The 15,069-nt window shown below is 40.4% G+C and overlaps 1 protein-coding gene across 14 annotated transcripts in view; it reads right to left on the bottom strand.

The window, feature by feature from the left end:
• The window catches only part of IFT81 (intraflagellar transport 81), a 94,437-nt gene that overhangs the window by 54,200 nt on the left and 25,168 nt on the right, over nucleotides 1-15,069 (bottom strand). For 10 of the 14 annotated variants that reach the window (XR_007063070.1, XR_001748670.3, XR_944523.4 and 7 more), the window contains one exon: nucleotides 1,529-1,675. Coding sequence is in view for 7 of the 14 variants with exons in the window: in XM_017019217.2 (XP_016874706.1) it covers nucleotides 1,529-1,675 (147 nt within the window). In the remaining 7 variants the exon portion in view is untranslated. Of the gene's footprint in view, nucleotides 1-1,528; nucleotides 1,676-3,310; nucleotides 3,433-15,069 lie in introns of all 14 variants that reach the window. The other 4 variants (NR_144952.2, NR_144949.2, NR_144951.2 and 1 more) reach the window with 1 other exon arrangement.

The raw sequence follows: 15,069 nt of genomic DNA, 5'->3' as shown, positions 1-15,069 counted from the left end.
TTGGCACAGTGAAGGTTCACTGCCAATTTGTAACAGTATGGATTCAATAACTTTTCAAAGCCAAAAATGAGGTTTGGACAAGAGTAGCTTTCCACGATAGCTTTTGCTGAGATCTAGTAGCTGTTACAAAATTTAAAAGCCTGTAAAAATTGGTAAAGTCCAAGCAATGTTTACAAATTAAAATATGACCTATTGCTTTATTTTGCTAAAAAAGCACTAAACTAAGATATTTGACTTCATTTATTCATTCATTCCTGGGCTAATTTTATGAAAAGAGGATGGAAAATTATATTTTTGGTGCTTGAGTTTAGCCATCTATAAAAAATATTATTTGTCCCACTAATCTTATGAGTCTGACAGAAGGATAAATGAAACAAAAGCTGTTAAAGCATTGTTCAAAATTTAAAGTATATTGCAATGTGAGACACAATTATATTTTTTTAAAGTTGTAAGCTTCTATGATGAGGTCATTTTAATCATGTCAGTCCCACCAGACAAGTATACATTACTGACAAAATAACTTAATGATATTTTCTTAGCCCTTTATGGAAATGCATTTACCAACAAATATAGATTTTTGTATTATCTGTTTGCTACTAACGTTTTTCACTTTTATAATTTAATATTTATAAATAATTAAATCCAATATAAATTCACTTAATTAAGAAGTGAAAATTTGGGGCCGGGTGCAGTGGCTCACACCTGTAATCCCAGCACTCTGGGAGGCCGAGGCGGGCAGATCATGAGGTGAGGAGTTTGAGACCAGCCTGACCAACCTGGTGAAACCCCGTCTCTACTAAAAATACAAAAATTAGCCAGGCCTGGTGACGTCCACCTGTAATCCCAGCTACTCAGGAGGCTGAGGTAGGAGAATCACTTGAACCCAGAAGGCAGAGGTTGCAGGGAGCCAAGATCGCGCCACTGCACTCCAGCCTGGGCGACAGAGCGAGACTCCGTCTCAAAAAAAAAAAAAAAAAAAGTGAAAATTTGGAACATAATATCTCGTAAAATCATTAACATATCTGCCATTTTACATCAAGAAATTCTCAGTATGGCCAGGCGTGGTGGCTCACGCCTGTAATCCCAGCACTTTGGGAGGCCAAGGCAGGCAGATCACCCAAGGTCGGGAGTTCAAGAGCAGCCTGGCCAACATGGTAAAACTCTGTCTCTACTAAAAATACAAAAATTAGCTGGGCATGTTGGCAGGCACCTATAATCCCAGCTATGTGGGAGGCTGAGACAGAAAAATCACTTGAACCTGGTAGGCGGAGGTTGCAGTGAGCAGAGATCCCGCCATTGCACCCCAGCCTGGGTGACAAGAGTGAAATTCCATCTCAAAAAGAAAAAAAAAGAAAAAGAAAAAAATAATCTCAGTATTATTGCAAAAAGACTCTTCAGTTTTAAATATGTTTTATAAAATAAGATTAACGTCCCAATATTAACATTCACACTAAGAAAGTCAAACACACTAATAGTTTCACATAAAAACAATACTCATACCCTTGTCCCATGAGATGGCTCAGCTTACCTCATCTCCCTTTAAAACTTCAGTACCATCAAATTCACGGGTCTGATTTCTCTTTACTGATGCTTCTCTCTCTAGGCTGGCTAACTTCTCCTTGGCCTCCTGAAGTTCCTCAGCTTTGGCTTCTTTTTTACGGGAAATGATAGATGCCTGATTGAGCATTAAATATGAAGGTATAATAAGATATACAATCAACTTTCTATTATCTTGTGAAATTATCTATTTTTTAGATTTTACCAAGTTATATTTTCAATATCAGCTTGGCCTCTCTTAACCAATACTCCTTGCCCTACTACTCATCATCACCAATTATATTGAATATGAACATACAATGTATATTAAATACCAACCTACAAACACTTTGGAAGACAAAGCTCTGAAAATGTAAGACATATCAGCAGAGAAACAAAAATGTGCTAATAAGAAAAATATTAGGCCAGGCATGGTGGCTCAAACCTGTAATCTCAGCACTTTGGGAGGCCGAGGCAGGAGGATCATGAGGTCAGGAGTTCGAAAAGAGCCTGACCAACATGGTGAAAACCCATCTCTACTAGAAATACAAAAATTAGCTGGGTGTGGTGGTGTGTGCCTGTAATCCCAGCTACTCAGGAGGCTAAGGCAGGAGAATCGCTTGAACCCGGGAGGTGGAGGTTGCAGTGAGCCGAGATCACGCCACTGCGCTCCAGCCTGGGTGACAGAGAAAGACTCTGTCTCAGAAAAAAAAAAAAAAAAAAAAAGAAAAATATTAAAGTCTTCTCAAATAACACTCAAATGCTAATGAAAATACATCCTAGTTCAAGTCAATAGAAGGTAACACCAAGTCTACCGTATTTTTACATGGTGGGTTTCCCTTTATTGGAAGAAAAAAATGCTTTTTTCTCAAAACTACAACACAGGTCATCTTACTAAATTCAATATCCGTACTTTTAAAATGAAATGTTAAAACATCTATCATATTTGGGCCATTCTAATAAATAAAATGCAGGTTCAAAATCAAACATCTGACTCACCAGAATTAGGCAAATGTTTACAAAATGCAAATGGCTACTCTTAGCAGCATTTTATATTAGCTAGTAACTCTTGGGAGATTTCCTTAAACGAACCATAGCTGTACTAGTTTAAGAAAAACATTAGCCAAACTGTCTTAAGAGAAATGATACAAATAATTTTTCAAGGAAATTTGACAGGAGAGCGAAATCTCTAGCACAAATCCTTAAAAAAATTCTATTGTCCTTTTTTTAAGAAAATGAAAAGACAGGTGATCATGAAGCAATGTTTTACTCCATAGAACTATTCTAGCTTAAAAAATGAAGGAGGCTGGGTGCAGTGGCTCACGTCTGTAATCCCAGCACTTTGGGAGGCCAAGGTGGGAGGATCACTTGAGCCCAGGAGTTCAAGACCAGCCTAGGCAACATAGTGAGATCCTGACTCTACAAAAAAATAAATAATAAAAAAAAAATAGCTGAGTGTTGTGATGCACACCTGTGGTCCCAGCTACTTGGCAGGCTGAGATAGGAGGCTCACTTCAGCTTAAGAGGTTGAGGCTGCAGTGAGCTATGATCATGCCACTACACTCCAGCCTGGGTGACAGAGACCCTGTCTCAAAGAAAAAAAAAAAGTGGGTCAGGCGTGGTGGCTCACGCCTGTAATACCAGCACTTTGGGAGGCCACGGTGGGTGGATTATCTGAGGTCAGGAGTTCAAGACCAGCCTGGTCAACATGGTAAAACCCTGTTTCTACTAAAAATACAAAAAAATACACCAAGCCAGGCATGGTGGCGTGTACCTGTGGTCCCAGATACTTGAGAGGCTGAGGCAGGAGAATTCCTTGAACCTGGGAGGCAGAGGCTGCAGTGAGCCGAGATTGTACCACTGCCCTCCAGCCTGGGTGACAGAGTGAGACTCCATCTCAAAAGGAAAAAAAAAAAAAAAAAAGTGGTGAAGAAGGAATGATAGAACGCCAGACTCTATAAGAATTGATAGTATACTTCAATAATAAAATAAATAACATGATAAAATAAATATAAACTTCATCCCCAAACCAGGATCTTACTTAATAGAGAAATATGAGGGTATTTCCCACTAAACTCAGGAACAAGAAAAAAATGCCCACTACCTTTACTATAGTTTAATTACTGTATTGAAAGTATTAGCTAATAGACATGAGAAAGCAATTAGAAGCATAAAAATTTGAAAGGAAAAATTGGAATTTGCATGTTTATATAATTATGTTTCCAAAAGATCAAAAGAATAGAAAAACTACAGAAACCAAATCAATAGCTTTCATAGACAAAATCAGTCGGAAGACATAAGGAAAGAAAAGCCCTGATTTATAAAAGCAAAAATGAAAGTAAATATATGTGATGGTTACTATTAGGTGTCAACTTGACTGGATTGAGGGATGCCTAGGTGGCTGGTAAAGCATTTTTTCTGGGTGTGTCTGTGAGGGTATTGCCAGAGGAGACTGACATTTGAGTTAGTGGACTGGAAGACAAAGACCCACTCTCAATGTGGTGGGCACCATCCAATCAGCTTCCAGTGCTGCTAGAACAAGGCAGGGGGAGGAAGGTGGGATAGCTTTGCTCGCTGAGTCTACTGGCTCTCTTTCTTCCTCCCATGTTGGATGCTTCCTCTCCTCCTGTCCTTGGACATCAGACTCCAGGTTTTTCAGCTTTTGGGACTTACACCAACAGCTTCCTGGGGCTCTAGGCCTTTTGGCTGCAGGCTGAAGGCTGCACTGTCGTCTTCCCTGGTTTTGAGGCTTTTGGCCTTGGACTGAGCCGCTATTGGATTTTCTCTTTCTCCAGCTTGCAGATGGTCTATCATGAGACTTTGCCTTGTAACTGTGTGAGCCAATTCTCCTTAATAAATTCCCTTTTATATATACCTATATCCTATTAGTTCTGACTAACCAATAGGATATATGGTTGATTAGGATAACCCTGACTAATACAATAGGTAGGCATAAATTTTACAAAAAAGAGTTTCGAAACCGTTTGAGGAGGCGAGATTCTGAGAAGGTGGTGGAGTAGGAAGCACCCAAAATCTGTCTCCTCACCTAGTGAACAGTTTCTCTGGTGTTCCAAAATAATTACATCACACAGATTCTACCAGTGTAATTGTTGGAATACTGAGTGCTTGCAACATCCAGTGGAAAGCTTGGACAGTAAAGTGAGGCTAATTTCAATCAATTTCAACCCTTAGCACAATAGCAGGTCCCATCCCCCACCTCCAGCCCCAAACACATGTTCCTGGTGCAGCATGCACACAGCTTGCTGGAGCAAGTGTGAACAGAAAAGACCTAGTCCTCCAATACTGGGGATCTATGCGCTGCTTCTGATCACAGAGGTGCAGACAAAGAGAGGGAGGCCATTGTTGCATCTTCCACCATTATTGCAAGTCCCTCCCCCTCTTACTGAAGTGACTTCTAGAGGAATTATAGGTCCGGATCCTTTTTTCTGTCCCTTTAGTTTTTCTCATTCTCCCCTTTTGGAAGCCAGACATTTAAGACTAAGACATTAAAAAGCAACTGCATATATGGGAAAATTTAGAAAGTGATGACACATGTCCGGGGAAATGCACTGGCTCAGAAAAGACCTGAGATTTTTTTGAGACAGGATCTGGCTCCATCACTCAGGCTGGAGTGCAGTGGCCCAATCTTGGCTCACTGCAACCTCCACCTACCAGGCTCAAGCAATCTGCCCACCTCAGCCTCCTAAGTAGCTGAGACCACAGGTACACACCACCACGCCCAGGTATATTTCTGTGTTTTTAGTAGAGACCTTGCCATGTTGCCCAGGTTAGTCTCAAACTCCTGAGCTCAACCACACATCTTGGTCTCCCAAAGTGCTGAGATTATAGGCATAAGCCACTGTGCCCAGCCTATCTTAACTTTACACTTTAGCCTATCCTTTGGTGCAGTCTACACCAATCAAAAAAACAAAAACTATAACAAAAAACAGTAAACCCCTGGGAAAAGAGAGAACCTAATTTCCAGAGTTACTACATTATGAGATTCCAATGTCCACTTTTCAATCAAAAAAATCACAGCCAGGCGCAGTGGCTCACACTTGTAATCCCAGCACTTTGGGAGGCTGAGGCGGGCGGATCACGAGGTCAGGAGATCGAGATCATCCTGGCTAACATGGTGAAACCCCATCTCTACTAAAAATACAAAAAATTGGCCGGGCGCGGTGGCTCACGCCTGTAATCCCAGCACTTTGGGAGGCTGAGGCGGGTGGATCACGAGGTCAGGAGATCGAGACCATCCTGGCTAACAGGTGAAACCCTGTCTCTAATTAAAATACAAAAAATTAGACGGGCGTGGTGGCGGGCGCCTGTAGTCCCAGCTGCTCGGGAGGCTGAGGCAGGAGAATGGCGTGAACCTGGGAGGGGGAGCTTGCAGTGAGCCGAGATAGTGCCACTGCAGTTTGGCCTGGGCGAAAGAGCGAGACTCCATTTCAAAAAGAAAAAAAAAAATCACAAAGCATACAAAGAAACAATAAAATATGACACATCTAAAGGAAAAATATGAGGCCAGGCACAGTGGCTCACACCTATAATCCCAACACTTTGGGAAGCTAAGGCAGAAGGATCCCTTAAGGCCAGGAGTTTGAAACCAGTTTGAGCAGCATAATGAGACCCTGTTTCTATTTTTTAGAATAAAATTGTTAAAAAAATTTGAAAACAGGCCAGGCACAGTGGCTCATGCCTGTAATCCTACCACTTTGGGAGGCCAAAGCAGGTGAATCACTTGAGGTCAGGAGTTCCAAGACCAGTCTGGCCAACATGGTGAAACCTGTCTCTACTAAAAATACAAAAATTAGCCAGGTGTGATGGCTAATTTTTGTATTAGCCTATAATCCCAGCTACTCAGGAGGCTGAGGCAGGAGAATTGCATGAACCCAGGAGGTGGAGGTTGCAGTGAGTTGAGATCATGCCACTGCACTCCACCTGGACAATGGAGTGATACTCTGTCTCAAAAATAAAATAAAATAAAAATAAAAATAAAAACAAAAGAATAAAATGAATGAATAGAAATTCTCTGAAAGAGACCTGATGGCAGATCAACTAGATAAAGACTTTAAAACTACTGTCTTAAAGATGCTCAAAGAACTCATGAAGATGTGGAGAACATCAAGAAAACAATGTATTAACAAAATAGAAATGCCAATACAGGGAAAACCTAAAAAGAAAGCAAAAAGAAATCCTGGAGCTAAAAAGTGCAATATTGAAATTAAAAATTCACTAGAGGTATTCAAAGGCAGATTTGGGAAGGCAGACAAAAGAATCCATGAACTTGAAGACAGGACAATAGAAATTATCAAGTCTGAGAAATAGGAAGAGAAAAATATTGAAGAAAAGTGAACAGAGCCTAAGGGATATGTGGGATACCATTAAGTAGGCCAGTATATGCACTGTGGGAGTCCCAGAAGGAAAAGACAAAGAGAAAGGGACAGATAGAATATATGAAGAAATAATGTATGAAAACTTCATCAATTTGATTAAATACAAATATAAACATCTAAGAAGAAGAAGAAACTCCAAGAAAGATGAACTGAAAGAGACATACACTGAGACACATTAAAATCAAACTGTTGGCACTTGATCTTCTCTCTTTAAACTTCATGTGCCTGCTTTGGTTTCTTCCAAGTGCACTTCCTTTCTTTTCTAAGGCCTTTTATTATTATGATTATTATTTATTTAGTTATTTATTTTTTTGAGGCAGGGTCTCATTCTGTTGCCCAGGCTGAAGTGCAATGGCATGATCTTGGCTCACGGCAACCTCCGCCTCCCAGGTTCAAGCAATTCTCCTGCCTCAGCCTCCCGAGTAGCTGGAACTACAGGCACACGCCACCACCCCCGGCTAATTTTTGTATTTTTTGGTAGAGACGGGGTTTCACCATATTGGCCAGGCTGGTCTCAAACTCCTGACCACATGATCTGCCTGCCTCGGCCTCCCAAAGTGTTGGGATTACAGGCATGAGCCACCGTGTCTGGCCTCTAAGGCCTTTTAAAATAAACTTCTACTCCTGCTCTGAAAAAAAAAAAAAAATCAAACTGTCAAAAGCCAAAGGCAAAGAGAACATTCTGAAGGCATCAAGAGACTGACTAGTCACATACAAGAGATCCTCAATAAGATCATCAGCAAATTTCTAATCAGAAACTTTGGAGGCCAGAAAGCAGTGGGATAATATATCAAGATGCTAAGAGAAAGAATTGTCAACCAAGAATCATATATCTGGCAAAACTGTCCTTCAAAAGTAAGGGAGAGGCTGGGTGTGGTGGCTCACACCTATAATCTTGGTACTTTGGAAGGCTGGGGCAGGCAGATCACTTGAAGTCAGGAGTTCTAGACCAGCCTGGCCAACGTGGCAAAACCCCATCTCTACTAAAAATACAAAAATTAGCTGGGCGTGGTGGTGCACACCTGTAGTCCCAGCTACTCGGGAGGCTGAGGCAGGAGAACTGCTTGAACCCAGGAGGTGGAGATTGCAGTGAGTGGAGATCATGCCACTGCATTCCATCCTGGGCGATGAAGTGAGACTCCATCTCCAAAAAAAAAAAAAGTAAGGAATAAATTAAGACATTCCCAGATAAACAAAAGCTACATTCCCAGATAAGCAAAAGCTAAGGGAGTTTGTTACAACTAGACTTGCCTTGGAAGAAATGCTCAAATAAGTCCTGAAAGGTGAAATGAAAAGATACTAGGAAGTAACTCAAAGCTGTATAAGAAAGAAAGATCCCAATAAAGGCAAATACATGAGCAATTATGAAAGATAGTATTAGTGTAACAACGGTCTGTAAATCCACTTTTTGTTCTCTACATAATTTAAGAGACTATACATTTAAAACAACACAATTATTATTAATAGCTGAATGGCTAGTATTACTGTAATTTTGGTTTATATCTCCACATTTTGTTTTGTATATAATTTAAGAGATTAACACATTTAAAAGAATTATTAGTTTATGTTTTGGGCATACAATGTGTAAAAGATATAATTTAAGAGATTAATGCATTTAAAAGGATTGTTAGTTTATGTTTTGGGGCACACAATGTGTAAAGATGTCATTTTGTGACATGAACAACTGAAAGGGGTGGGGATGGAGCTGTAATGGAGCAGAGTTTTTATATGTTATTGAAGTTAAACTTGTATAAATTCAAATTACAGTGATATAACTTCAGGATGTAATCCCCATGGTAACCACAAAGAAAATAGCTATAGAATATACACAAAGGAAATGAGAAAGGAATTTAAACATTTCACCATAAAAAAATCAACTAAACACAAAAGACAGTAAAGCAGGAAACGAGGAACAAAAAAGCTACAATGCATATAGAAAGCAAATAGCAAAATGACAGAAGTTGCTGTTTATCAGTAATTAAATATAAATAGATTGATTATCTAATTAAAAGACAGTGATTGGCAGAATGGACAAAAAACATGTGATCCAGGCCGGGCGCGGTGGCTCACACCTGTAATCCCAGAACTTTGGGAGGCCGAAGTGGGCAGATCACCTGAGGTCAGGAGTTCAAGACCAGCCTGGTCAACATGGTGAAACCCCGTCTCTACTGAAAATACAAAAAATTAGTTGGGCATGGTGGCAAGTACCTGTAATCCCAGCTACTCGGGAGGCTGAGGCAGGAGAATCGCTTGAACTAGGGAAGTGGAGGTTGCAGTGAGCTGAGATCGCGCCATTGTACTCCAGCCTGGGCAACAGGAGTGAAACTCCATCTCAAAAAAAACCCCCCAAGAAACCACATGATCCAAGTAATGCTGTCTACAGGAGACTCATTTTAGATCCAAAGACATAACTAAACTGAAAGTGAAAGGATAGAAAAAGATATTCCATTCAAATAGTAAACAAAAGACAACAGAGTGACTATATTAATAACAGATGAAATAACTTTAAATTTTCAAAGAGTACAAGAGACAAAGAAGGACATTATTAATAAAAGGTTCAATACAGCAAGATTATAAGCAATTATAAATATTTTCACACCTAATGACAGACCATCAAAATATATGAAGCAAAAACTGACAGAATTGAACACAGAAAAAGACAATTGTATAATAATAGCTTGAGACTTCAACATTCAGTCTCAATAATGGATAGAACAAACAGAATATAAGTTAGAAAATACAGGACTTAAACAACAAAATAAATCAACTAGATTTAGCAGACATATAGAAAACTGAGACATATAGAGGCTGAGATCTCACCACTGCACTCCAGCCTGGGTGACAGAGTGAGACTGTGGCCAAAAAAAAGTTTCAATAGATTTTAAAAGATAGATATCATACAGAGTATCTTATTTGACTACAACAGGATGAAGTTAGAAATCATCAACAGAAATAAAACTGGTAAATTCACAAATTTGTGGAAATTAAAAATACATTTTTTTCTTTCTTTCTTTTTCTTTTTTTTTTTTTTTTGTGAGACAGAGTCTTGCTCTGTCACCCAGGCTGTAATGCAGAGGCATGATCTTGACTCACTGCAACCTCTACCTCCCGGGTTCAATTTTTCCATCTCAGCCTCCCGAGTAGCTGGGATTACAGACATGCACCATCATGCCCGGCTAATTTTTGTGTTTTTAACAGAGACAGGGTTTCACCATGTTGGCCAGGCTGGTCTTGAACTCCTAGCCTCATGTGATCTGCCTGCCTCAGCCTCCCAAAGTGCTGGGACTACAGGCGTGAGTCACCGCACCCGGCCAAAAATACTTTTTTTTTTTTTTGAGATAGTGTCTCACACTGTTGCCTGGGCTGGAGTGCAATGGCGTGATCTCGGCTCATTGCAAGCTCTGTAATCCTAGCACTTTGGGAGGCCAAGGCAGGTCTATCATGAGGTCAGGAGTTCAAGACCAGACTGGCCAAGATGGTGAAACCCCGTCTCTACTAAAAATACAGAAAAATTAGCTAAGGGTGGTGGCAGGCACCTGTAATCTCAGCTACTTGGAAGGCTGAGGCAGAGAATTGCTTGATCCCAGGAGGCGGAGGTTGCCGTGAGCTGAGATCATGCCACTGCACTCCAGCCGAGGTGACAGAGCGAGACTTTGTCTAAAAAAAAATATCCCAACAAAGAAAAGCCCTGGTCCTGATGGCCACACTGGTGAATTCCACCCAACACTTAAATTAACGAATACCAGGCTGGGCGCGGTGGCTCATGCCTGTAATCCCAGCACTTTGGCAGCCGAGGCAGGTGGATCAGCTGAGGTCGGGAGTTCAAGACCACCCTGACCTTTAGTAGAGACATGGAGAAACCCTGTGTCTACCAAAAATAAAAAATTAGCTGGCATGGTGGTGCATGCCTGTAATCCCAGCTACTCGGGAGGCTGAGGCAGGAGAATCACTTAAACCTGAGAGGCGGAGGTTGCGGTGAGCCAAGATCACGCCATTGCACTCCAGCCTGGGTAACAAGAGCGAAACTTCGTCTAAAAAAAAAGAAAATATCCCAACAAAGAAAAGCCCTGGTCCTGATGTCCTCACTGGTGAATTCCACCCAACACTTAAATTAACGAATACCAGGCTGGGCGCGGTGGCTCATGCCTGTAATCCCAGCACTTTGGCAGCCGAGGCAGGTGGATCGGCTGAGGTCAGTTCAAGACCACCCTGACCTTTAGTAGAGACATGGAGAAACCCTGTGTCTACTAAAAATAAAAAATTAGCTGGCATGGTGGTGCATGCCTGTAATCCCAGCTACTTGGGAGGCTGAGGCAGGAGAATCGCTTAAACCTGGGAGGCGGAGGTTGCGGTGAGCCGAGATCACGCCATTGCACTCCAGCCTGGGCAACAAGAGCGAAACTTCGTCTCAAAAATAAAACAGTAAAAAATAACAAACATCAAATCCTTCTCAAACTTTTACAATAAGTTGAAGAGTAGCATAACTTCCTAACTCATTTTCTGAGGCCAGTATTACTGTTAGGGAACAGCATAAGACTGTTAGAAGGAAACATAGGGCAAATGTTTCACAACACTGGATTTAGCGATGATTTATTGGATATGACACCAAAAGCACAGGCAACAAAAGAAAAAATTAGACAAATTGGACTTCATGAGAATTTAAAACTTTTGTGCATCAAAAGACACTGTCAACAGAGTAAAAAGGCAACACACAGAATGGGAGAAAATATTTGCAAATCATATATCTGATGCGGGATTAACATCCCGAATAAGCCAGGCATGGTGGCTGATGCTTGTAATCCCAGTACTTTGGGAAGTCCAGGCGGGAGGATCTCTTGAAGGGATTGCAGACCAGACTGGGCACTGTAGGAAGATCCCATCTCTACAAAAAATTAGCCAGGTGCAGTGGCAGGTACCTGTAGTCTCAGCTACTTGGGAGACTGAGGAGGGAGAATCACTTGGGCCCAGGAGTTCAAGGCTGCAGTGAGCTATGATGACACACTCCAGCCTGGGCAATAGAGTGAGACCCTATCTCTAAGAAAAAAAAAAATCCAGAATATACAGAGAACTCCTAAAACCCAACAACAAAAAACCAAACAACCCAATTCAAAAATGGGGTTAACATCCAAAATATATAAGGAACTCAACTCAATATCAAAAAAACAGATAACCTGATTAAACAATGGGCAAAGAACCTAAAGAGACATTTATTAAAGACATACAAATGGCCAATGGGTATGTGAAAAAATGCTCAGCATCCCTAATCATCAAGGAAATGTAAATTTAAAAATGAGCTATCACCTCACAACTGTTAGAATGGCTACTATCAAAATGACACAAGATAACAAGTGGTGGTGACAATGTGAAGAAAAGGGAACTCTGGTACACTGTGGATGGGAATGTAAATTAGTATAGCCATTATAGAAAACAGTATGGAGGGTCCTCAAAAATTAAAAATAGAGCTAGCATATAATCCAGCAATCCCACTAGTGTGTATATATCCAAGGGAAATAAAAATCAGTATATTTAAGAGATATCTGCATTTACATGGTCATTGCAGCATTAATTTCAATGGTCAACATATGGAATCAACCCATGTATCCATCAGTGAATGAATAGATAAAGAAAATGTGGTATATACATAATGGAATACTATTCAGCCTTAAAAAAGAAGGAAATCCTGTCATTTACAACAACATGGATGAGCCTGAAGGACACTATGTTAAATGAAATAAGCCAGGCACAGAAAGACAAATAGTGCATGATCTCACTCACATGTGGAATCTTAAAAAGCTGAACTCATGGAAGCAGAAGAGTAGAATGGTGGTTATCAGGGGATTAGGGAGGTATACAGATTGGAAAGATACTGGTCAAAGGATACAAAATTTCAGTTGGGGGAATAAATTCAAGAGATCTTTGTATAATATCATAATTATAGTTAATGTATCTTAACACTTGAAAATTGTTAAGAGGATAGATGTTAAGTGTTCTCACCACAAAACAATAAGTATGTGAGGTAATGCATATGTTTATTAGTTTGATTTAGCCATTCCATGATGTATACATATTTCAAAACATCATGTTGTATACCATAAATATAAACAATTTGTATTTGTCAATTTAGAAAATAATTTTAAAATCCCATATATCCACACAAAAACTTGTATAAGAATGTTCATAGTAGCATTACTCATAATAGCCAAAAAGTGAAAACAACCTAAATGTCCATCAACCAATGAATGGATAAACAAAACATGATGTAGCTATACAATGGAGTATTAGTCAGCAATTAAAAAGGAATGATGTACTGATACATATACTACAACATGGATGGACTTTAAAAATGTTACGCTAAGTGAAAGAAGCCAATGACAAGGAATAACATATTAAAATATTCCATTTATATGAAATGTGCATGACAGGCAAATCTATAGAGACTGATTTTGTCTCAAATCAGTTGAAATTGGGGGTTTAGGGGAGAAATGGAAAGTGGGTGCTAATGTGTTTGGGGTTTCTTTTAGGGGTGATAAAATTGTTCTAAAATTGATTGTGGTGATGGTTGCACAAACTATAAATACACTAAAATACCACTGAAGTGTACACTTTAAATGGGTGAATTATATGGTATGTGAATTATATCTCAATCAAGGTATTTTTAAAAAGGAACAAAATTTTTTCTACTATGGAATGATCACCAGCATATATTGTTAAGAAGAAAAAATGCAAGGAGAAGAAGAGTGTGTTTAATATGTTCTTCTTTCCCTAAGAAGTGAGATATGAGTATATACGTCTATATAATATTTCTAATGGAATAATAAAGTGTGAAATTTAAAAAATACCTATGTGGGAAGGAAAGAATAGGGTGGAAGCACAGGAATAGATGCTGGAAACTTATTTGAATATATACCCCAAAAACAAAATGAACTAAAGACCAATTTTCAGTAGTAATCATATTCTTGATGGTATTACTGGTACTTTTATTCTGAGACTGTTGTGTGTAAAATGTGGATTAATATTATAAAAATGATAAATTTATGTTGGTTCCACTGGACAAAAGCAAATTATGAATTAAATTATGTTGATGTTACTAAGAACCAAGATTTTCAACGTGGGATAAGGAAAAAGATGTGAGATTGACGAGACTAAGTAAAACCAAGTAGTCCTGAATCTGAACTGGAAGGATTAGTATGCACTGATGGTGTACTTTATGAAAAAGAAAGAGAAAGAAATACCTCCTAGCCTGGTCCACTGAAAAGACCTAAAAACAATGGCTGCCTAAAAACATGGCCGGGTGCGGTGGCTCACACCTGTAATTCCAGCACTTTGGGAGGAGTTCAAGACCAGCCTGACCAACATGGTGAAACCCTGTCTCTACTAAAAATACAAAATGAGCCGGACGTGGTGGAATGTGCCTGTAATCCCAGCTACTTGGGAAGCTGAGGCAGGAGAATCGCTTGAACCCAGGAGGCGGAGGTTGTAGTGAGCCAAGATCATGCCATTGCACTCCCGGCTGGGTGACAAAGCGAGACTCTGTCTCAAAAAAAAAAAGAAAAGAAAAGAAAACAAACAAACAAAAAATCAACGAGAACTCCTAACACCCAGACTGTGGTTTTGATACAGAAGTGGGGCAGGGAAGTGCTGGGTAGAGGAGGGCATGGTCCCTGGTGAGGGCTCCACCCCCAGGTCTGTCCCCATGGACCTAGGTGAGGACAGGCACTCCTGCCTTCATGCCCAAATGTTGCATTTCCCGAGACCACCCTGGTCTGCCATGCCCCCATCCTGTGCCTATAAAAACCCCCGGGACCCTAGCAGGCAGACACACAAGTGGCCGGACATCAAGAGGAGATCGGCTGAAGAAGACACAAGTGGCTTGATACCTAGAGACACCGACAGGCACTGGCAGGCCACTGACTGACCTAGGCCATTGACTGGCAGAACGACGCAGAGTTAGGATGGGGCAGTGGGAGAAGAGTCAGGGTGGTCAAAGAAGAGTCAGGCCACTCGGCGGCCTGACTCCAAGGGAAAACCATCTCCCTTCGGGCTCCCCTATCTGCTGAAAGCTACTTCCATAAAACCTTACACCCATTCTCCAAGAGCACATGTGATCCGTTCTTCCGGTACACCAAGACAAGAACCC

This window comes from Homo sapiens, chromosome 12 (assembly GCF_000001405.40).
Source record: "Homo sapiens chromosome 12, GRCh38.p14 Primary Assembly".
Lineage (NCBI taxonomy): Eukaryota > Metazoa > Chordata > Mammalia > Primates > Hominidae > Homo > Homo sapiens.
Note: the sequence above shows the minus strand (reverse complement) of the source record. Positions and strands in the feature narration are given on the sequence as shown.